This window comes from Homo sapiens, chromosome 14 (genome assembly GCF_000001405.40).
Source record: "Homo sapiens chromosome 14, GRCh38.p14 Primary Assembly".
Classification (NCBI taxonomy): Eukaryota; Metazoa; Chordata; class Mammalia; order Primates; family Hominidae; genus Homo; species Homo sapiens.
This window is the reverse complement of record NC_000014.9, coordinates 57578330-57600933: the sequence shown is the minus strand read 5'-3', so window position 1 is coordinate 57600933 and position 22604 is coordinate 57578330. Positions and strand designations below refer to the sequence as shown.

The window sequence follows — 22604 nt, the reverse complement described above, 5'->3', positions numbered from 1 at the left end:
TTCAAGGCTATATGTTTACCTAAGAAAAGGGTAACCCTTAAACCAGATTCCATGTGGGTTTCTATGAAAAACCTACCAAAACTGATTACAATAAATGATACTACTACAAGGAAATATTTGTTGCCACTGAAATCAACAGAATATGAGTTTTAAAATAAGCTGAAATATAACTGTTCATATATTTTGTTGAGTTATTGATATTTTATCTTTTTGGTTTTTTTTTTTTTTTTTTTTTTTTTTTTGAGATGGAGTCTTGCTCTGTCGCCCAGGCTGGAGTGCAGTGGCGGGATCTCGGCTCACTGCAAGCTCCGCCTCCCGGGTTCACGCCATTCTCCTGCCTCAGCCTCCCAGGTAGCTGGGACTACAGGCGCCCGCCACTACGCCCGGCTAATTTTTTGTATTTTTAGTAGAGACGGGGTTTCACCGTTTTAGCCGGGATGGTCTCGATCTCCTGACCTCGTGATCCGCCCACCTTGGCCTCCCAAAGTGCTGGGATTACAGGCGTGAGCCACCGCGCCCGGCCCCTAGTTATTGATATTTTATCTTTTTGTAAGAAAAAATGACAGATTAATAATTATGGCTACCAACCAACATCAAGTGAAAAATCCAGGGTTACATTTCTGTCTTCAGCATTTCTTTAGTGATTATAATATCTTAGTCATGGAAAAGGTCTTGGATCTTTAAAAGAAACACACTTATAAAAGATGAGTTGAAAATAGCGCTAGTTTTATGGCCAATATATAATTTACGTGAGCTTGTTTGGAAGAATTATCAATCAATCATAAAGCTAGTAGGGGGTTAGGAGATCATATGATCTAACCCCTGACTTTGTGATCATAGCATTGTTGTAGAAACAGAATATTGGATGTCTTTTCTTTACTCCTCCAGATCCTCTTTCCACTTTTTTCCACCCAACTTTCTCTGGGGTCTGAACCTGTAAAGAAAGAGGCTGTCTTATCTCCTGGCTTTGGCTTATTAACCAATGGGGAGTTCCTGTGGGATATCAAAGGGAGGGAGTATTTCCAAGACCCCCAACTGGGTGCCTGCCTTAATTAAAAGTCATGACCTAAGCCAAGCAACCCTCTCCTCCCTCTCCTTCCAAATTCTGGTGTTGTTTTTTTTTTTTTTTTTCAAGACAGAGTCTTGCTCTGTCGCCCAGGCTGGAGTGCAATGGCGTGATCTTAGCTCACTGCAACCTCCACCTCCGGGGTTCAAGAGGTTCTCCTGCCTCAACACGAGAATTTTTGTATTTTTAGTAGAGACGGGGTTTCATCATGTTGGTCAGGCTGGTCTTGAACTACTGACCTCAGGTGATCCACCTACCTCAGCTTCCCAAAGTGCTGGGATTACAGTCGTGAGCCACCGTGCCCGGCCCCAGATTCTTCTAATCACTCTGTCCCCTCGCCGCTTCAGGCCTGTGGTTAGTAAGAGCTGTAGTTAAACCTGAATACTGCCCTACCCTCTATGATTTCTCACATACAGTGTTTCACAAATTTTAACTTACATTGGAATCACCTGGAAGGCTCCTAAAACTATAGGTTACCCAACTGCAGAATTTCTGACTCAATGGGTCTGATATTGGCACTAAGAATTTGCATTTCTAACAAGTTCCCAAGCGATGCTAGGGTGGGAGGCTTAGGGAGCCACTGCCCTATGGCCCTATACCTTGACCACCTTTTCTAAAATTGTCCTGTTTTGAGTTTGCCATCTCTTCCTCCTGGAACCCTATCCATATAAGTGGCTATAAAAATGAGTTGAAAACAGACAAAGTTGTGTTATGGTTAAGCATAATTTGCAAATACATGTTTGAAAAATCTTCAGGTTGAAGAAGAGAAAGCTGTGGGAATTTAGGAAATCATTTTGTCTAATCCTTTAATTTCAGCAAGGAAAGAATGTGAACAAAGTGAGGTCAAGTGATTTACCTGAGTTGACACAGCCAGTGGTATCCTACTTTTCAGGGCAGCCTTTTCAGGGTACATATTATGCTGCCTCTTGTCATAGAGCAACTACCCCTTCTATACACACACACACACACACACACATACACACACACATTCCCTAGATCGTGTTAATTGCTTCTGGGTATTCATGATTTCTACCTTTAGGTTTAGGCACCAGATCTATATAGCGGTGTTTGCTTCACGATTTGGGGCAAATAGGGATAAGGTCTCTGGCTCAGCTTCAGTATAGTACTTAGTAAAGCCAGTTGTTTTGTTGACCTTTTGTGCCCATAGGAGATAAAAGCCAATGGTAAGGCCTTTGTTTGAATGATAGCTGGGACTTTGATCTATCTGTATCTTCCAAGTCATCTTGCACTTGTTCGCATGGAGACATTTGACTCTTTGCTTTTTACCCCCAGTGCTTTCCAAAGACCTTTTCCTAGTTAACTTTTATCAGCTTGGCTTTTCAAGTTGTTATCTGAGAACTTCACATCTTATACTCAATCTTTTTAAGCAATTGTTTTACTCAGTGGCTGTAGTTCTTTTCCCTTTTCGCTTTGAAGTTCCTAAACACCCAAGGCACCTTATTCTCAGCTCCACTCCTTCTTTCCTGGGAGCTGCAGCCTGTTGCGATGTTCGCTCTGCTAGTGACAGAAATTGGACAAGCATCGGTGTAATATTCAAGTTCCTTTCTCCAGATTTTTGACTCTGTGCAACTAGATTTCTCTCAGAAGGCTAAAGCTGTGAGATTGAAAGTGTAGGAGCTTCAGACAACCAAATTTTCCGCAGAGAAAGGTAAGCAGCAGCCTTCTGAGAAGACATGAAGCTGGTACCCAGCAGCGAGAGATGGAGAAGATGAGACTGATTGCACCAGGGCCCTGGTTCCAGGTGTTCCTGAGGTTTAGGGACACTCTGGCCTTCTTGTCCCTGTAGGTCGCTAAGCTCCTAAAAACTCCCCTTTTAGCTTTAAACCAATTTAGTTTGGATTCCTAGTATATGAAGTCAAATATTCTATTTAATAAATGGCCCCTAATAGTCATTTTTGTTTACGAGGTCTCCCCAGGTTTAGACAGCCTGGTTTCTTAGCCACTGTATACTGCCTGAATCTCAATTAGACAGCTCCTTTTCAAGTAACAGGTGAGGGTGAAAGAATGGGATTTCCAATACTCTTGTATATTGAGATTTCAGCATCTTAGAGCTGATCGTCTTAATATTGAGCTTCATAGCATGCACCTTATGCCTCTGACTATTTGCTTCTACGGTTTCCTCTGACTGTATTGCCTATTCCCCAGCCTAAACCTCTGCCTGATTAAGTCCTGTTCATCCTTCAAAGACACCTTTGATGTGACCTTCCACAGAGCCTTCCCTGCTCCAGGCTTCTGAATGAATCCCTCACTCCCTTTCTTCCTGCTCCCCCAGCTGCATCAAACTGTGGCTAATTGGTTACATGTCTGCATCATACAAAACTGAGAGTTCCATGAAGGTACAAACTATTCTTCATTTGTCTAACTCTGGTCCTGACACAATACCTGCCCCATAATAGGTGCTTAATAACTACTTGTTGAATCAAATTGAATTTGGGAGCATGCAGATCCCAACCAGTGCAGATGAAGAAATCATATTCTCCTTCTGGGCCAAATAATGAAAATGGCCCAAGATGGCCCCACTGCTATGGGTCAGGTGAGCAGATGTCTTTAAGAAGGATAGGGGACCATCTGGTGTGACAAATGAGATACCACCCACACATCACTCCTAATACAGTTTACTCACAATACTTAGTAAAATCAGAACATTGTTTACTAACTGGATTTGCAATCTCTGGTTCCACTCAGGCACTCATTGTTGCATACAAAACAGAAAATAGAAATATTTATTTATGATACTTGACTACATCCCAGACGATGTTCTGAATGTTTATATTTGTCAGGGTTGCCTTTAGATTAACTAAATGGTACAAGACCATAGAGGATGGGACAATGTTTTCGCTTCCAGGATTGGAGATAATTGTATCATGGCCCAACCCCTGAATACGTCTCCAGGTCTGGCTTGGAAGTTTAAAGTTTGTATTGTTTAAGACAGTGATTAAAATGTCTGTCATGGATGAACTACTCTTGGATCTCTTCCACAAACTGACCAGTGGGAGGCAGCTGGCAGCAGGCAATGGGCTTTGCGGTATATCACATAAGGAACAGGAGGTATGGAAGCCAGGACATAATATTTTAGTGAAAATGAGAAAGGAAGATAAATCACTGGTGTGGCTTATACATTCAACACTTGCTCGCTACACACAAGTTACCAACTTTTTAGGTAACTATGGACAATATTTGATCTCAATCCCATCCCAACTTGCTACCCAGCCTATTTCTAGACTTTCTCCTTTTGATGTATAATTGCCAAGGGATTGGAAATGGAATATTGGGAAAATGAAACCCAATATTACCCTGAGAAAAGAGGAGAAGGCATACCTTATAAAAATAAATTTCAAAAGATAAATTTTAAAAGACTCTTGGAGTATCTGAGCATCAGCCACTCTTGAAGAACAGGAATAATTGTGAGTTCACTGAATTTCAGACAGTCCGTTTTTATCGAACTTGAATTGTCCAATTAGAAACATAGCTGTACAAGGTATAATAAACATTCTGAATATGTAAAATAAGAACCCTGGGTATTTTTGATGCTCTTATAATAACAATAGTAACATAGCATTAATTTAAGTGTAGCAGTCAGTATATAATGCTTCTGTTAACTTTCTGAGTAACTGTAAATTTTTAATTTTCTAAATCCAAGATTACATAGTACATTTTATTTTATTTGTATGGGTGCATAGTAGGTATATATATTTACAGGTACAGGAGATATTTTTATACAGACATACCATGTGTAACATGTCATCTATCACCTCAAGCATTTATCATTTCTTTGTGTTACAAACATTTCAATTATGATCTTAGTTATTTTACAATCTACAATCAATTATTGTTGACTGTAGTCACCCTCTTGTGCTTTCAAATATTAGATCTTACTCATTCTAACTATATGTTTGTACTCATTAACTGTCCCCACTCCCTCCACCCTCAACCCACTATCCATCCTAGGTTCTGGCAACCATCATTCCAAAGAAATAGAAGAAATAGAAATGCTTGGAGAAGTGATTAATTTCAGGAGTGGGGCAGGGAAACTATAAGACAAGCCCAGGGCATCTTGCAGTGCCAGAAAGTAAGGAAGAGCTCAAACGCAAAAGAATGGGGACAAATCAAAGGTACTCAGTAGCCAATCTAAAAGAGCTCGCCATGGCCAAAGCTGGAATAATTTGAGTGAAATAATAAACAATGCAGGTTTGATCATAACCCAAAGTATGAACTAAATATTCATAAGTCTATACCAATACAAATAAATTGTGAATAAAGGAGGAAAAGAGACAAATTATCTTTACAGAAGAAATCCAGATAATATATGTAGACCTCCCCGACTCCAGAAAGTGAGGCTTAGCACCCTCTCTTCCCCACACCAGAGTGTGGGCTGGACTTAGTGACTGGCTACCGAAGAAGAGAGCATGGAAAGGGAAAAAAAAGACAGTGGAGAAACCTGGCCAACACGACCTTGGCTGGGTGATCACAGTTAACATCATCAATAACAAGTCATGTTGGTAGCATGTCATGACTGATACTATATGATGAGAAGGATTCTTTACCTCTGTGGTGTTCTTCCTGAAAAATCCATGAGCCAAATATAGCCAAATAAAATATCTGGCAAACTCAAATTGAGAGACTACGAAGTACTTCAACAGCTCTCTTTAGAACTGTCAAGGTTATGATAAACAAGACTGAACAACTATATCAGACCATAGGTGGATAAAGGGACATGATGATTAAATGTAATGTGGTATCCTGAATAGGGTCCTAGAAAAAGGACATTAGTGATAAAACTAGTGAAAATCCAAATAAAGTTTGGAATTTGGTTAATAGTGATGTACCAGTGTTAATCTCTTAATGTTGATAGATGCATCATTTGGATAGGAAAATTGGGGCTGAGGGGTGGGAAGTGGCAGGATGGGCCCTTCTCAGCACAGCACCCTATGTGACTATATTGGCTGCAGACCCATGAGGCTGACCCGGGGTTGGAGATTCTTGGGGTGTTGGCTGGTGGATGATTTTCATCTGTAACACCGGATAGAGGCTAGTAGTGATTGAGAAGACACAATGAAATTAAATTTTAGTGATCAATCCCATGGAAAAGTGTATAGTCAGTTTGTTGGAAACACTGTTGGCAGTTTTACCAGTTAGGAAATCGACAGCCTTAGGAAGAAAAGGGTAGAGTGGAAAATCACAGAACACTGTGCCTTCCTTGCCTTAAACTATTTGACTGTGTTAAGTATTAATTCTGAACACAAGTACCAATCCAAATACCATCTTCTAGTGTTCATTTCTAGTGAATAGATTTATCTAAAAGAGTCTTTATCTTATAGGCACAGACCTTGCCATAACATTTTCTTTTTATGAGCCCCTTTTATAGAATTTGAATAAGCTCATTAGGACTGTGATTGTTGCTACCATATATTTTACTGTTCAGGCCTTTAAAATCTACTTCAGCCAGCCTGGCCAACACTGTGAAACCCTGTCTCTACAAAAAATACAAAATTAGCTGGGTGTGGTAGCACACACCTGTAATTCGAGCTACTTGGGAGGCTGAGGCAGGAGAATTGCTCGAACCTGGGAGGCAGAGGCTGCAGTGACTCGAGATCACACCACTGCACTCTAGCCTGGGTGACAGAGTGAGACCCTGTTTCCAAACAATAATTAAATAAATAATAAAATCTACTTCCAATTTGTTCAGGCAGTTCTCAAACTGGCGTGAACTCTGTCTTTCCAGGTACCTCCAGATCATCAGTCACTAGATGTAAACCAGGAGCCAACTGCCCCAGTTCACACAGTGGCATCAGTAGACAACTGTCCCCACTGTCTGTCACCGAAGATTCCTCTGCTCCTATTCTTGAACTTCAAAACCAAGGATCCTCAGGAGTTTGTGGACACAGAGTTGAGAGACAGAACAGATCAGGTATGTGGGTGACCTCCTCTTAAATAACGGTACATCCTAGTAAGCTTCTAAATAGAAAGATCTCGCCATTGTCACAGAATGCAGAGATGTTACACGGACTCTTATGAGTACATGTGGGGAAGCTTTATCAAGCCGGAGGATAAGGAAGCAGGGAAATATATAGATACAATCTATTAGTGGTGTATAGTATGGCAGAGAAACTGAATGCCAAAACCTGTAGTTGAGTAACTAAAACATGGTTAGACAATGACTCCTGGTGAAGTTTACAAGGTAGGTAGTTTTCTCATCTTCAAAATATCAAAACCCTGCATCTTTTGTCTCAGCCTGGGGATTCAGTAACAGCACAATGTACCCATCCTGAAAAGAATGAAAACACCAGTAAAATAACAGAATCTGCTTTTGTCCTCATCGGGACTGTTAGTCCCTGGAGCCCTTTTAGTATTCCCAGTTTCATACTTTCTGCAGGAGACTTCACTGGCTTCCCTGATCAGCATTTTCTGATCAGTTGAGACTTTAGCTTTTCCTCACATCCACCTGACCACTCGCCAACTCCTGGGTTACTGACTGGAATTGCTAGATAAATCTTGTAACTGTGCTCATGAGTTTCCCAGCAAAATTTATAGTTTTTAAATGCAGCTGGGTCCACTAGACTGCTGGCCAGGACTGTTCCTTATTGGTAGTGGACATCTTATTGCCTTCCTCAGGAAATGGACTCAAGTCCCCTGTTTAAATTCACTTCCTCTCATTGTATGACCGAGCATACTTCCACGTTCCTGAAAAGAGCAAACAGTTGTACGCTTACAAATGCATTCCTCTACCTCAGAATGTCTCTGTGCTTTTGTTTACCAGTTACCATCACTGTGGGATGACTTGTGGTATGATTGTCTTTCTACCTTTCCAATTTTAGCCCCCTACCTGTGTCCATGATAGCCCTACCTACATCTCTTCTGGCCCATTTGTTTCTCTCCATTTGTTCCTTCAGCTTGGCTGGCAACATACTAAAATCTCTTTCATCCTCAAAAATAGTAACAGCAGCAGCAAAAACAACAAAATACACCACCAAAATAAGTTGGTAGTAAAACCAACAACAACAATAAAAACCTCCAGAAATTTGGGAAAACTGCCTTAAAAAAATGACAATTCAGAGGATTCAATTAGGGGTGGGGGAAGGGTAAACAGAGGAAGAGAGGAGATGTGAAAGCTTCGTCTAGGGTCCTACTCATTTGAGAATGTATTTTTTATGAGAAAATAAAATGATGTCTTAGACACTGTGTGAACCCCAAGGCTAAAACTTAGAAAAATAATGACATCTTACATTTTCAGAAAGTTTTAATTGGCTTTAATAAATTGCAATATTCCTATTACCCCAGTTGTTTGCAAAACAAAATGTTCCAGTTAATTAAACACACTGGTTAATAAAGATATGCCCTATGTATCATACACAGATTACAAATTTCAAATACCATATCATTAAAGATCATCTGGAACATAAGTTACTCTTTCTGTGATTATTGGAAGCACTTGGGGATATTCCAGTGCACCAAAGAGAAGAAAAGAATAATCTGAAAAGAAGCTCACCATGATTTTGTGGATATTATGGTACTTAATCTCAAAATAAATCCTATGAGATAGCTATTATCACTGTTGGACAGATAAAGAAGCTAAGAAAGGAATTTAAAAATGTACTCAATGCCATACAATGGCAGGGCTAGGATTTAAATTCACGTTTCCAAATTCCAGTGGCCTCTGCTGTCAATTTGCATGACTTGATAAAGGTACGCAGAAATGGATAGAATCCTGGTAAAACAATTTTAATGATAACAAAATCTAAGCAGGACTATAGAAAATCATGTTAAAAGTGGTCAGAAAATAAAAGAGTTCTGGGTACCTAATCTTTCTGTGCTTTGTAAAATCGAAGAATTGGCAACAATCAATCTAGTTAACAGAAGAAGCCTAGAGTCAATACTATGAAAAGGTGTAGGTGACTATTGGTGTCATCAAAAGCACACCCATAGTATAGTGGTGCAGACGCATTCTTCACAGAAGGTGACAGTAAAGGCAGATATTGCCTCAGAATCTTTGTAGAGTTATTCCTCCTTTATAAGGTAGTCCCTGGGAATCATGAGATCTGAAGTGTAGTAGGGTACACCTTTCTCTTAAGTATCACTTTTTAAATTTCATGCAGGACTGCCATTCCTGCCAGGAAACAGAACTTTTTTCCCAAACTAGTCTGAAACTTGCAGTGCCTGAATGGAAAGCTAAGGGCTGAAGGCCCAGCCATGTGGGTGCTCAGAATAAAGTTTAGACCCTGGAGTCATACTGATTCAGTTGGGTTCAATCTTGGACAACCCTTAACACAATTCTCAGCTTTTTCATCTGTGAAGTGGGAATGATAATACCTACTTAATAAGTCAGGTTTGTGTTCCTTTCTTGGCCTCTCAACACAAGATTCTCTATCCTCTTATTTATCCTAGTTTTCCTTCTACTCTCTGCATAAGCCACATGGTCATGGAGGAAATTTGCAGACCTGTTATCAAGAGACTGTGTTGTCTGTAAACAGCTGAAGGAGCTGAGTAACTCACACTTCCAGACTCATCTCAGTGTCACTGCACCATGGACATTTTTTCTGATCATATCCCCCCCAGCTCCTCAACAAGTACTTGTCTGGCATTGTATCTGTCTGAGCTGGCTCTTATCACACTGTGTTGAGTGTGTTTCTGGCTTTCCACTAGACCATGGGCTGAAGTCTTTCATATTCAAATCCTTAGGATCCAAGTAGCTAACTAGCGCCTGGTAGAGTCTCCATAAGATTTGGTTGAATGAATGGAAGATTGCCAGTTTTTATCTTCTGGATGCCTAGGCTCTGAGAATTCAGTACTGTTTATAAGATTTACAAGTCATGTAGTGGTTGCTGTGTTCATAGTTACTTGGTTTATATTCCCCAGTGGAGAATTCACTTTCAAGGCTCTCTTCTCCTTTCCCCCAATGATTATATCAGAAAGCCTTAACTGGGTAAAGGTTTTTAACACAGTGGGGCAGCCACACCTGGCTCATTAAGCAGTAGGAACACATTCAGCGGAGAGCCAGTAGGCTCTGGAGACACAAAGTGAGCAGCCCCATCCACTGCCATTTGCAATCTCTGGGCTGCGCTACTTTAACCCTCAGCATAGGCCTTGTGCTTAAGTGGGGTCTTTGGAGACACAAGAGACTCTTGTAGGCAATTACCATCTGGGATCTCAGCTCAGGGACTCAGAATGACCTCCGCTCCTGTTTAACTTCCTGAAAGGTACATGAATTCATTATGTTAACTTGTTTTTTCCATGAAGGGAGACAGCCTTCATGATTATCACTTTTAGAGAGTTTTGGCTATTTTAGTGTGCTGTAAAATTGCTGCAAAATTTTCTTAGTAAAAGTACAAAGCAGAATTTATTGTGCTCCCAGAAATATATTAGTCATTGGTGAGGTGGGAAATGACTGTGTAGTCAGGACTTGCTCTATTCTTGGGACACATTACTTTTAATAATCATCTCTGTTGCATTTTTTTTAGAGACTGGGTCTCCTTCTGTCACCCAGACTGGAGTGCAGTGGTACAATCATTGCTCACTGCAGCCTCAAACTCCTGGGCTCAAGGGATTCACCCACCTGAGCCTCTGGAGTTGCTGGGACTAAAGGTATATGCCACCTCCCACGGCTAATTTTTTTTTTTTTTTTTGCATAGACAAGGTCTCTCTTTCTTGGCCAAGCTGGTCTTGAACTCCTGAATTCAAGTGATCCTCCCACCTTGGCCTCCCAGAGTGCTGAGATGACAGGCCTGAGTCACAGCACCAGGCCATTTGCTATAACGTAAAAAAAAAAAAAAAAGGAAAATGGAAACGAATATTTATTTCTCACTCGCTTTTCATGTTGGTGCATACAGAGCAGCTTTGGCTGGGTTCTGCTCATGTTCCCACACAGAAAGAACACCTTCTATTTGGCGTTCTACTTTGAAATGACAGAGGGGAAGAGCAAGAGAGCTGGTAGGACCTTGGGATGCCTCCTAAGGCTTCTTATGGGAGGTGTTATGCCTCATGTCTTCTCACATTCAATAGAAAGCGCAGGGCATGTGGCCAAGACCAGTCTTTGGGGGCTGGGATGTGTAATGCTCTTACAAGGGAAGGGCACACTGGAAAACAGCATAACATCCGCATGAGCAACCTCATGGACTGGATCGGGACTCAGATGCTTACTGTATTGTGCAGAGCACAGAGTCCAGAGAAAAAGTGAGCCGAAGTTATCAGTCTCTTCAAATGATGGTAGAAAAGAAAAACACTGGTAATTCTACTGTCTGCCTCTTTGGTTTCATCCATCTTTTTTAAGGAGCTGATATATTTGATTGCTGTTTCATAACCTGCTTTCCTCACATTTGTATTCCTTTCCTGTTTCCAGCAGACGATGGGACACAGACTCATTCTGAGAACAGCAGCCAAGAAAACAGAATCAAGGCTCGCTGCCTGTCCTGCACGTCCATGGTTCTGAAGGGCATCTGGGGACTCTTGATCATCTTGTCAGTATCATCATCTTGGGTTGGAACTACACAGATTGTAAAAATTACTTATAAGAACTTCTATTGCCCATTTTTCATGACTTGGTTTTCAACAAACTGGAACATTATGTTTTTCCCAGTCTATTATTCTGGTCATCTAGCCACTGCTCAAGAAAAGCAATCTCCAATGAAAAAATTCAGGTAGGTTTCATGTTAACTGCCCAATAAGAGATCATTGAAATGTTTTATGAAAATATGCCTATTTTTATCTCTTGGGAATATGAGTTGAGTTTTTTGGGGTATGTGAAGAAACAAGATCTAAGGTTGGAGACGAGCACTAGAAGCAGAATCAGTCCTCCCTTAAAAATATAAATGTGTCTATAACATGCCAGGCACTGTACTGGTGCTTTTGCATAACTTATTATGACCGGTGGTAACATTTACATTTTAAGGTGGTGTTATCCCCATTTTAAGACAAGAGGACACAAATTCAGAAAGGTTGAATGACTCATTCAATGTTATACACTTATAAATAATAGAACCAAGATTTAAATCTAGATCTATTTATTTCTGAAAGTCGTGTTTTATAAGAACATCCCAGTGCATCAAGCCCAGAAAAAAATGGTATTAATAAGATTGTTACACAAACATTTGCTCAATATTCCTGACACTGAGATGCCTAGCAGATGACATGGCCTGATTTCATGCAACGGGGAGTTTGGCACTAAGAAACTTTAAAAGATGCCACTCTTTGCTGCCTAGATGCACATGGGGGCTTTGTCTGTTTCCTTGCTAACCATGAACAGTGGTGGTTGGGCTTAAAGTCTTATGGTTCCAGTGGTTGTTCTGTACTAAATCTGGCTTCTGTAAGCCCCTCTTGGATAGCTCAGGAAGCTGACAGGGCTGATGTCACACAGCCCTGCATGGCACTCAAGGGAGGCAAAAGCAGCATTTGGGTCCAAGTACCTTTGCTAGTGGACAGTTCCATGAAGAGGAAAAGCCTGATGCTGAGAAGTGACTTCTAGGAAAATTGCTATGATCACCCAGGAGAAAAAAAAATAGGGACACCAGTGGATGGCAGATGGAAGAAGAGTTCTCCACATGGACTTACTATTCCTCAGCAGAATAAATTTGTCTTGCAGGGGTTGCCCCTGTACCAAATGAAAAGAAATTATTACAACTGGTACATTATACGACTCTTCTTATAAACTTAACTTTGAAGGGTCTATCTTCAAATTCCATTTCCATTTGAGACAGAGTCTTGCTCTGTCACCCAGGCTGGAGTGCAGTGGCACGATCTCAGCTCACTACAACCTTCGCCTCTTTCCTCAGCCTCTTGAGTAGCTTGGGTTACAAGCGCCCGCCACCATGCCTGGCTAAGTTTTTGTATTTTTAGTAGAGATGGGTTTCACCATGTTGGCTAGACTGCTCTTCAACTCCTGGCCTCAAGTGATCTGACCACCTTGGCCGCCCAAAGTACTGGGATTACAGGCGTGAGCCAGCGTGCCTGGCCTCAACTACCATTTTCTTTTTTTTTTTTTTTTTTGGAAGGTGCATGTACTAATTATTCTTTATTCATTTGGCCTTGAAGAATGTTTAATTTTTGATCACCTTTTGCAGTAACTTGGCAGATTTTTCTGTTTTTATTGTACTTTAAGTTCTGGGATACATGGGCAGAACGTGCAGCTTTGTTACATGGGTATACATGTGCCATGGTGGTTTGCTACACCCATTAACCCATCATCTACATTAGGTATTTCTCCCAGTGCTATCCCTCCCCTAGTCCGCCACCTCTGCCAACAGGCCTTGGTGTGGGATGTTCCCCTCCCTGTGTCCATGTGTTCTCATTGTTCAACTCCCACTAATGAGTGAGAACATGCAGTGTTTGCTTTTCTGTTCTTGTGTTAGTTTGCTGAGAATGGTTTCCAGCTTCATCCATGGCCCTGCAAAGGACACGAACTCATCTTTTTTTATGGCTGCATAGTATTCCATAGTGTATATGTGCCACATTTTCTTCATCCAGTCTATCATTGATGGGCATTTGGGTTCGTTCCAAGTCTTTGCTATTGTTAACAGTGCCACAATAAACATACGTGTGCGTGTGTCTTTTTAGAATGATTTATAATCCTTTGGATATATACCCAGTTATGGGATTGCTGAGTCAAATGGTAATTCTAGTTCTAGATCCTTGAGGAATTGCCACACTGTCTGTCTTCCACAATGGTTGAACTAATTTACACGCCCACCAACAGTGTAGAAGCATTCCTATTTCTCCACATCCTCTCCTGCATCTGTTGTTTCCTGACTTATTAATGATCACCATTCTAACTGGCCTGAGATGGTATGTTACCGTGGTTTTGATTTGCATTTCTCTAATGACCAGTGATGATGAGCTTTTTTTCATAGCTTGTTGGCTGCATAAACGTCTTCTTTTGAGAAGTGTTTGTTGGTTTTTTTTTCTTGTAAATTTGTTTAAGTTCTTTGTAGATTCTGGCTATTAGCCCTTTGTCAGAAGGGTAGATTGCAAAATTTTTTTCCCATTCTGTAGGTTGCCTGTTCACTCTGATGATAGTTTCTTTTGCTGTGCAGAAGCTCCTTGGTTTTATTAGATCCCATCTGTCAATTATGGCTTTTGTTGCCATTGCTTTTGGTGTTTTAGTCATGAAGTCTTTTTTTTTTTTTTTTTTTTTTTTTTTTTTGAGACAGAGTCTCGCTCTGTCACCCAGGCTGGAGTGCAGTGGTGTGATCTCGGCTGACTGCCAGCTCCACCTCCTGGGTTCACGACATTCTCCTGCCTTAGCCTCCTGAGTAGCTGGGACTACAGGCACCCGCCACCACGCCCGGCTAATTTTTTGTATTTTTTAGTAGAGATGGGGTTTCACTGTGTTAGCCAGGATGGTCTGGATCTCTTGACCTCGTGATCTGCCCACCTTGGCCTCCCAAAGTGCTGGGATTACAGGTGTAAGCCACCACGCCTGGCCTAGTCATGAAGTCTTTACCCATGCATATATCCTGAATGGTATTGCCTAGGTTTTCTTCTCGAGTTTTTATGGTTTTAGGTCTTACGTTTAAGTCTTTAATCCACCTTGAGTTAATTTTTGTATAAGGTGTAAGGAAGGGGTCCAGTTTCAGTTTTCTGCATATGGCTAGCCAATTTTCCCAACACCATTTATTAAATAGGGCATCTTTCCTCCATTGCTTGTTTTTGTCAGGCTTGTCAAAGACTAGATGGTTGTAGATGTGTGGTGTTATTTCTGAGGCCTCTGTTCTGTTCCATTGGTCTATATCTCTGTTTTGGTACCAGTATCATGCTGTTTTGGTTACTGTAGCCTTGTAGTATAGTTTGATGTCAGGTCGTGTGATGCCTCCAGCTTTGTTCTTTTTACTTAGGATTGTCTTGGCTATGCAGGCTCTTTTTAGGTTTCAGATGAAGTTTAAAGTAGTTTTTTTCCAATTCTGTAGAAGAAAGTCAATGATAGCTTGATGGGAAGAGCATTGAATCTATAAATTACTTTGGGCAGTATGGCCATTTTGACGATATTGATTCTTCCTATCAATGAGCATAGAATATTTTCCCACCCGTTTGTGTCCTCTCTTATTTCCTTGAGCAGTGGTTTGTTGATGAGGTCCTTCAAATCCCTTGTAAGTAAGTTGTATTCTTAGGTATTTTATTCTCTTTGTAGCAATTGTAAATAGCTGTTCACTCATGATTTGGCTATTACTGGTGTATAGGAATGCTTGTGATATTTGCACATTGATTTTGTGTCCTGAGATTTTGCTGAAGTTCCTTATCAGCTTAAGGAGATTTTAGGCTGAGGCGGTAGGGTTTTCTTAATAGATAATCATGTCATCTGCAAACAGAGACAATTTGACTTCCTCTTTTCCTACTTGGATACCCTTTATTTTTTTCTCTTGCCTGATCGCCCTGGCCAGAACTTCCAATACTATGTTGAATAGGAGTGGTAAGAGATGGCATCCTTTTCTTGGACCGGTTTTCAAAGGGAATGCTTCTAGCTTTTGCCCATTCAGTATGATATTGGCTGTGAGTCTGTCATAAATAGGTCTTATTATTTTGAGATAGATACGTTCCATCCATACCTAGTTTAAGAACTTTTAGTATGAAGGGGTGTTGAATTTTGTCGAAGGCCTTTTCTGCATCTATTGAGATAATCATGCGGTTTTTGGCCTCCCAAAGTGCTGGGATTATAGGCATGAGCTATAATTTCCTATCACCACTTTGCAAGTGCTTGGGAATATTAATTCTCACCGTGAGTTGATTTTCTATATGTGTCTATGAAAACTCAGCTATAATTAAAGAATTAAAAAGCAATTCAAAGAGAGTAAATGCTTACTGGATTGGGGGAGAGCCCTATGACTATTTGAGATTACTAAAGATATTTTATATTTGATTCCCATCCAAATAGACATGATCTTGCATTGTAAAATTTTTAAACAGTATTTATAGGGGAATGTGATTATCAGACTACAGTTGTTCCTGTTTGAAGATACCTATGTGCACCTGTACAGTGTGTGTGTTCTACTTGAATGCTTCCATGGTTTAGACACACATTGATTTAAAACAACAAAAGTTTTATATAAAAAGAAGTATCTCAAGAATACCTCAAAGCAAGTTAAGTCAGTTTAAGATAACTGATTTAAAACAAGAGACTGCTGCTAGCAGAAGTGTTGTTTTGGGAATGCACTTCATTTTTTCCACATCTCTCATGTCAGACTAACTCTGAACTTAGTAAAATCTGATTTAGCACTCTACCTATAGTGCATGTAGAGTGAAGCTGACCATTTCTGAAATAGAATCAGAGCTTTTATTGTCAAGCAGAAAATACTATCTCTGAAGGGAATGTTCTCCAATGGCCTCCTCCATATGAGAGGTAAAATTGTCAGACAATTCTTAGATTCTCGATCTTTTTTTCCCTGTAGACTCATTAATACCATCTGCCAAGAAGTTACTCCAGAAGTTACTCCCGAAGCTCTCATGACTGAACAAGGGAAGAATAGAGTTAGTGTGTAAGACTGGAAATAGAATTTGTCCCATAGCACCAGAATCTATTTTCTCTAGAATGGTATGAAAGCATTTCCAGTATTTTTTTATCAGTAATATCAAAATAATTTTCAATGAAGTATCAAATCTAGATGGTAAGGACTGTATTTAGAAGTAGTTTTTTATAATCATTTATATACTACAAGAGAATTCAATTGCCTCAAGTGAATTTGAAATTTAGGAAGAAAAAAATATATACCATATTATTAACAAGGACGTTTTCTTAGGGGAAAAATCTTAGATAGCATCAAACTGGAGCCAAAGACATATTTGCCTATGTCAGGCACCTATAAAATATGCTTACTATAAAATATGCTTAAGATGCTATTTAACATATAGACAGGGTTCAACAACTAGTGGCTGCTGTTTTAATAATAAGCATAACTAAATTATTAGTGTCCTCCAACTTCTATGCTTCATTTCAAGCTATACCACCTGTCAATGCCACTTGCCCAGAAAGTCTGATCTCATCATCCCAAAGAGAAACCCACTGTTATTCGCTTCTCCATAAAAATCCATATTTTTTTTTCAGTTTTCATGTTTCTTAGAGTTTAATGCTTAAATAGTATGGGATTTTACACAAGTGACCTGGCATTTAGATGGAGAGCATTTTTAATTTCTACAACAACAGTAACAAAGGGGAGAAGGTCGGCAGTGAGAGAAGGGGAAAGAAAGGGGAAGAACGAGGGAATGAACACCTGGAAGACAGGTTGAGCCAGGTGAGAACAGTCTCCACCTGTCAGTCAGCAGCGTCTTCCCAGCTGCTCTGCCAGTGAGGCTCTGTCTGTCTGGAATACACATCTGTTGGTCTTCCCTGTGGGATTGGAGTGTTCCTTTCCTGCATCCAAAATCTTTGCTTAGGAGCACTCCTCCCAGCTCTTGGTTGAAGAACAATCACTGGCTAGGGCCAGTGATAAGAAAAAGATATCCTTTAATCAGGAATGGGTTTTGTTGTGGTTCTTAATAAATGTGTTCATATTTTAAAAGGCAATCAGTAGTTGTAAATGATGGGATAAACCCACGACTCTCAACTCCAGCTCTACACGGCAGCTTTCTCACGGAGCAGATCGCCTTATAAGTACAGAAAATGAACTTTGTGCCCAGGATGCTCTATGAAAACTTCCTCTGGTTCTATGTATGGTGCTAATTCAGAATATCCCATTGGCTGTGGGGCTTCAAAGAGACTGTTCACTTTCCTGTGTATGTGAGCGTGTGTAATTTCTGTTTACATTACAGAAGGCTTTAAAGTTAAAATTTATCTTTGGGAAATCTTACTTTCATTTTACAAAAATCCTTCCTTTTTGGAAGCCTCCTTACATGAAAGTAAACAAATTTCAATACAAGTTTCTGTGTGTGCAACACATGTCTTTAACCTTCCTGGAACCGGTGACCTGCAACTCCCAACATTCTCATCCAGTTGAAAGTCACATTTACTATGAAACTTAATCTTTAAGGCTATACTCCCTGTGCCTAATTCTTTGTCACTCCTCCTCTCCACGTGGTCCTTTTTTGGGGTTATTCATGTGAGGCAAACATTGGCTAGAATTTACTTTGATTTGCAATACTTTGAGGCACACTAATTTCAGTTAAAACTGGAAAAGAAACTAGTACTAGAGTCCTGTAAATAGATTTCATTATAAACATATACTACTCATGAAAATACAATGCCTGGAGCATGACAGTTACCCCATAAATACTTGAATGTTCATGAACAATCGAGTGGGAAAAAAATTAAAATTCTCCCAGTGGTAAGTCTGTCTTCAGTCCATAGTCGTATAGGTACAGTCATTGTATCACTTCCATTATTGCCTGTATGTATTGCTAGCTTGAACATTTTTATTAAAATGGCCCCTCAGAGCCAGGTGCAGTGGCTCTTGCCTGTAATCTCAGCACTTTGGGAGGCCAAGGTGAGCAGATCACCTGAGCTTAAGAGTTTGAGACCAGCCTAGGCAACAGAGTGAAATCCTGTCTGTCTCTACAAAAAAATTTCAAAAACTAGCCTGGCATGGTGGTGCGTGCCTGTAGTCCCAGCTACTCAGGAGGCTGAGGTGTGAGGATGGCTCGAGTCTGGGAGGCGGAGGTTGCAGTGAGCCAAGATCATGCTACCGCATTCCAGCCTGGGTAAGAGAGCCAGACCTAGGGGGAAAAAAAAAATCATGTTTAGGCCTAGGACTTAAAGGAAAAAAATGGCCCCTGGGGCTAAATGTAGCCAACTTCCTTGAAAAATCAAACAAACCGAAGATTTAACAATTGAAGTGACCATTTTCTCACACCGAATTTAGACAATTCCTCCAAAAGGGCCAAATGTTTGTATATAAGTACAACCTGAGTTTTCTATTATAGTTTTTATCATGTGGGAGTTATCACAGGGACTTCATTTTTCTGCCTTAAAAATGCTGGCAGGAAAAAAAATTAGTCAATTGGGCAGATATATTAGAAAGTGGCTTAGTGTCTTAGAAATAAAATCCAAAAACATGTGTGCTGCACAGATGTATGAGGGTCCCTTTCCCTCCGGGTTCTAGGAGTTGTCTGTAGCCCGTTCACAGAGTAGTAGCAGCCTTGACCCTCTCTCGTTTGCCCACCCTCTTCCAATAGCTAGTGATTTCAGCAACTACCAATTTCGGTATTTCTGCAGGCTCTTCTGAGAATGCTCAAAAACGACAGAATGGCTTTTCAGGCAACCTCCAGAGACTATCTCAGAGAAGAGAGCCTAACTCTGTGCTTGGGCACATGTGGGCTATTTTCCAAGGAACCTCATACACTCCCTGAAGCCCGCAGATTTCAGAACTGGGTTCAGTATACTTCACAATGAAGGATGGGTATTGAGTGTTTGTGCTCTTACCTGAAAATGGCTGCGATGAGTCAGATAAGACAAGAGGTGTCACCATCAGTACCTGGATATTAACTTCTCTTTTCTTTCCTAGGGAATGCAGTCGGATTTTTGGTGAAGATGGTCTGACGCTGAAACTCTTTCTTAAAAGAACTGCTCCCTTTTCTATTCTATGGACTTTGACTAATTACCTTTATTTACTGGCTTTAAAGAAGCTGACGGCCACGGATGTCTCCGCTCTGTTCTGTTGTAACAAAGCCTTTGTCTTCTTGCTGTCATGGATTGTGCTGAAAGACAGGTTCATGGGAGTGAGGGTAATGGCATACTTGATTCAATGCGCGATGCCTGCCTTTTTCATAACTCCTTGGCTTCAGGAGAGCCTGTCTGCTTTGTTTCGTGGAGTTGCTGTAAAACTTTTCTCACTTGTTCTGAGTACAAACCGAAATCTGAAGACGCATTAGAAAGCCCAGGCAGTTGCAACATCATAGAAGGATAAACAGTTTGTTTCCACTGGTTAGTGAGCTCATTCCAACAGGAGGCACTAAAACAGGCAGAGAAAACAAGTTCCTATATTAGAATTAATTTTTAGAACTAATGGTGTGTTCACCTCCTTCTGTCCTCAGGAACGAAGGGTCTGAGAAAATTAGCCACTATAAAGATTATGGTTTGCATTTTTCAATCAACATATGTTGAGATGACCCCCCATTCCCCCCACCAGATGGACTTAATTAATATTGGTGTAAGTAGATAAGATTACCAAACAGTAATTAAAGTCACTGGTAATGGCACAATGCTGTTAAAAGTGACTATATATCTAGTGTGACTAATGCAGAAATGGAAGTACAAGCAACAACTTCTTTTGGATACAAATCCTTAATTGAACTGCATTAAACTTCCACCAACAACTTCAGTTCTGAGTTTATTCCTTTCAGGAGTAATATGGATTAAAAACATATATATTTATATGCTTGTTCTATGTTAAAAATAGATTGCTGGGAAGCCCTGAAGATTTAAGGAGCCAGATCTCATTCATATAATCCGGCATGCCACTATGATGAACATATTGAGACAACACTTCTTTAGAAGGAGGTATAAATGAATTGCCTTTTCTCAGAGTATCAATATTACACAACTTATCTTCTCTGAAAGAGATGTCCAAGATAGATAGAATTTGAAACATATTTTGTTATAAAAACATTGCTCTTATTGGCAATGATTCCAAGGTCCTTTCCCCCTCCCAAATGCTGAAACTAATGTCTATGTTAGAGAGAGGGTTTATGATGGTCATTAACCCTGAAAGATTTTCTTAAGAAAACAGTTAGTTAGACAATTCTGATTGTATCTTGGGAGATGCTGCTCTGAAATTTAGAAATGAAGCTTCATATTAATAAGTAGAAAGTTTTGATAGAAGACAAAATCAGAAACTGTGAGTCAGTCCATGATACCATTACAGTATATCCAAATGTGACACTACATTCTTTACTGGCTTATCTTAGATTTGACCCCAAAGGGCTCAGCATCACATATTTATGTCTGGGGCACTGGTGCTGGCTGTCTACCATCAGATACCCTGACAAGTCCTTGAGAGCTGGAAGCTTTCCTATATTGTCCACTGTTCTTTTCAAGATCTGCTACATAATCCATGGGGCCCAGTGCAAAATGAATATTAATAATTTTAAGATAACAACAACAGAGCACTGAGCCAAGGGTGGGGACCTTCCAAGCACAAGGCCCTATATATCAACATAAGTCATCCCCTAGGAAGTCAGCTGTCTCTACTTCCAATGTCTAGAATATTACAGGGCACGAAGTGGGGGTTCGATTGATATTTGAGGATATAGTAAATGAGTTCATACTTCTGAGATCTTTCTTTTCACTGTCTTTCACTATCATGGACCACCCATAAGAACCTGGAGAGCCTTGTCAGAAGAGGGGAGAAGAGAGATTTGGAGGCTCTTTTGTTCTTTTAGTGGCGTGCAAATACCAACATTAAATCCATATTTTCACCATTAGATATACCAGCAATAAAATCCGTTGTATTAAAGCAAATGAGCACATTTAACTCATGGACCTCACTGATGCAAGAGGTTACGTCCAAAAAGGTACAGTGTTTATTTGAGGTATTTTAGAGAAAAAGAAAACAACTGTGTAACTTATCTTTAAATAGCAGATTTTAAAAATCAAAAATCTGCCTATAGGCTACCAACCATTGCCATTTAAAATTTGCCATCTGCAGTGGGTTGAGTGGTGACTCCAAAAAAGATCTGTCCACATCTTAATCCCCCAAATCTGTCACTGTGACCTTATTTGGATAAAGGGTCCTTGCAGATATTATTAACTTAAGGATCTTGAAAAGGGGACATCATATTGGATTATCTGAGTGGGACCTAAATCCAATAACAAGTGTCCTTATGAAAGACTCACAAAAGAGACACACACAGAAGAGGAGGTGGCGGCAATGTGATCACAGACACAGAGATTGGAGTGATGTGGTCACCAGCCAGGAATGCCGGGACACTCACCAGAACCCTGGAAGAGGCAAGGACTGTATCCTTCCTTAGAGATGCCTTTGGTCCCAGCTGTATTTTGAACTTCTGGCCTCCAGAACCGTGAGAGAATAAATTTCTGTTGTTTTAAGTCACCACGTTTGTGGTAATTTGTTACAGCAGCCTTAGGAAACTAATACAGCATCTGTAATTAATAACACTCAGTAGAGGAAATGTTAAATAGCTAATAAGTACTTGTTAATAAATATATCCATAAGTGAAGACATCATAGATAGCAGAATAGTAAGCATTAGTGTCAGGCATCCTGTAAAAATCAAATATTTTTCTTTTTAAGTAAGAGGAAGTGCTTCACTTCTCATTGTGAAACATTAGGACATGTTCAATGCGATGTTCCGGAAGAATGGTAACGTGTAATTTAATGATGCCCATAATCAGGCCATGGAATGTGAGAAGCACTGAAACATATTCAGCATTTTGCCTTTGACAGTATCAGCAATTATTTTCCTCCCAAGACATATTGAGAACACATATAATTAGGTCATTTGAGAAATTAAACGAGGGCAAACAGCACTGACAACATAAATGTAGCTCTTATTGCCCACATCTATAAATAATCTAAAGCATAGCCCCTCCAGATGTCATCCCACTGGACTACTCAAAAAAAAAAAAAAAAAAAAAAAAAAAAAAAAAA

At 40.1% G+C, this 22604-nt stretch overlaps 1 protein-coding gene and 1 long non-coding RNA gene across 22 annotated transcripts in view, besides 1 other annotated feature; one reads left to right on the top strand and one right to left on the bottom strand.

Annotated features, from left to right (window-relative positions):
* Window positions 1-22604, top strand: part of SLC35F4 (solute carrier family 35 member F4) — a 419262-nt gene that overhangs the window by 382248 nt on the left and 14410 nt on the right. For 10 of the 21 annotated variants that reach the window (NR_159375.2, NR_159374.2, NR_159373.2 and 7 more), the window contains 3 exons: window positions 6810-6995; window positions 11421-11718; window positions 19501-19720. Coding sequence is in view for 12 of the 21 variants with exons in the window: in XM_011536723.4 (XP_011535025.1) it covers window positions 6810-6995; window positions 11421-11718; window positions 19501-19720 (704 nt within the window). In the remaining 9 variants the exon portion in view is untranslated. Of the gene's footprint in view, window positions 1-6809; window positions 6996-11420; window positions 11719-16414; window positions 22048-22604 lie in introns of those variants that run through there. The other 11 variants (NR_159376.2, NM_001206920.2, NM_001352014.2 and 8 more) reach the window with 7 other exon arrangements.
* On the bottom strand, window positions 17171-22601 carry SLC35F4-AS1 (SLC35F4 antisense RNA 1). The gene is made up of 2 exons (XR_007064193.1): window positions 21929-22601; window positions 17171-19947 (listed from the first exon to the last, which is right to left on the bottom strand). It is a non-coding gene; the product is annotated as an SLC35F4 antisense RNA 1 (long non-coding RNA).
* Window positions 18495-19694: an enhancer, noted in NCBI's record as "BRD4-independent group 4 enhancer chr14:58047958-58049157 (GRCh37/hg19 assembly coordinates)". NCBI's record gives its function as "activates an origin of replication core promoter dependent on BRD2, P300/CBP, MED14 and CDK7 cofactors, and independent of BRD4, by STARR-seq in HCT116 cells {active_cell/tissue: HCT116}" and the evidence as "EXISTENCE:reporter gene assay evidence [ECO:0000049][PMID:35650434]".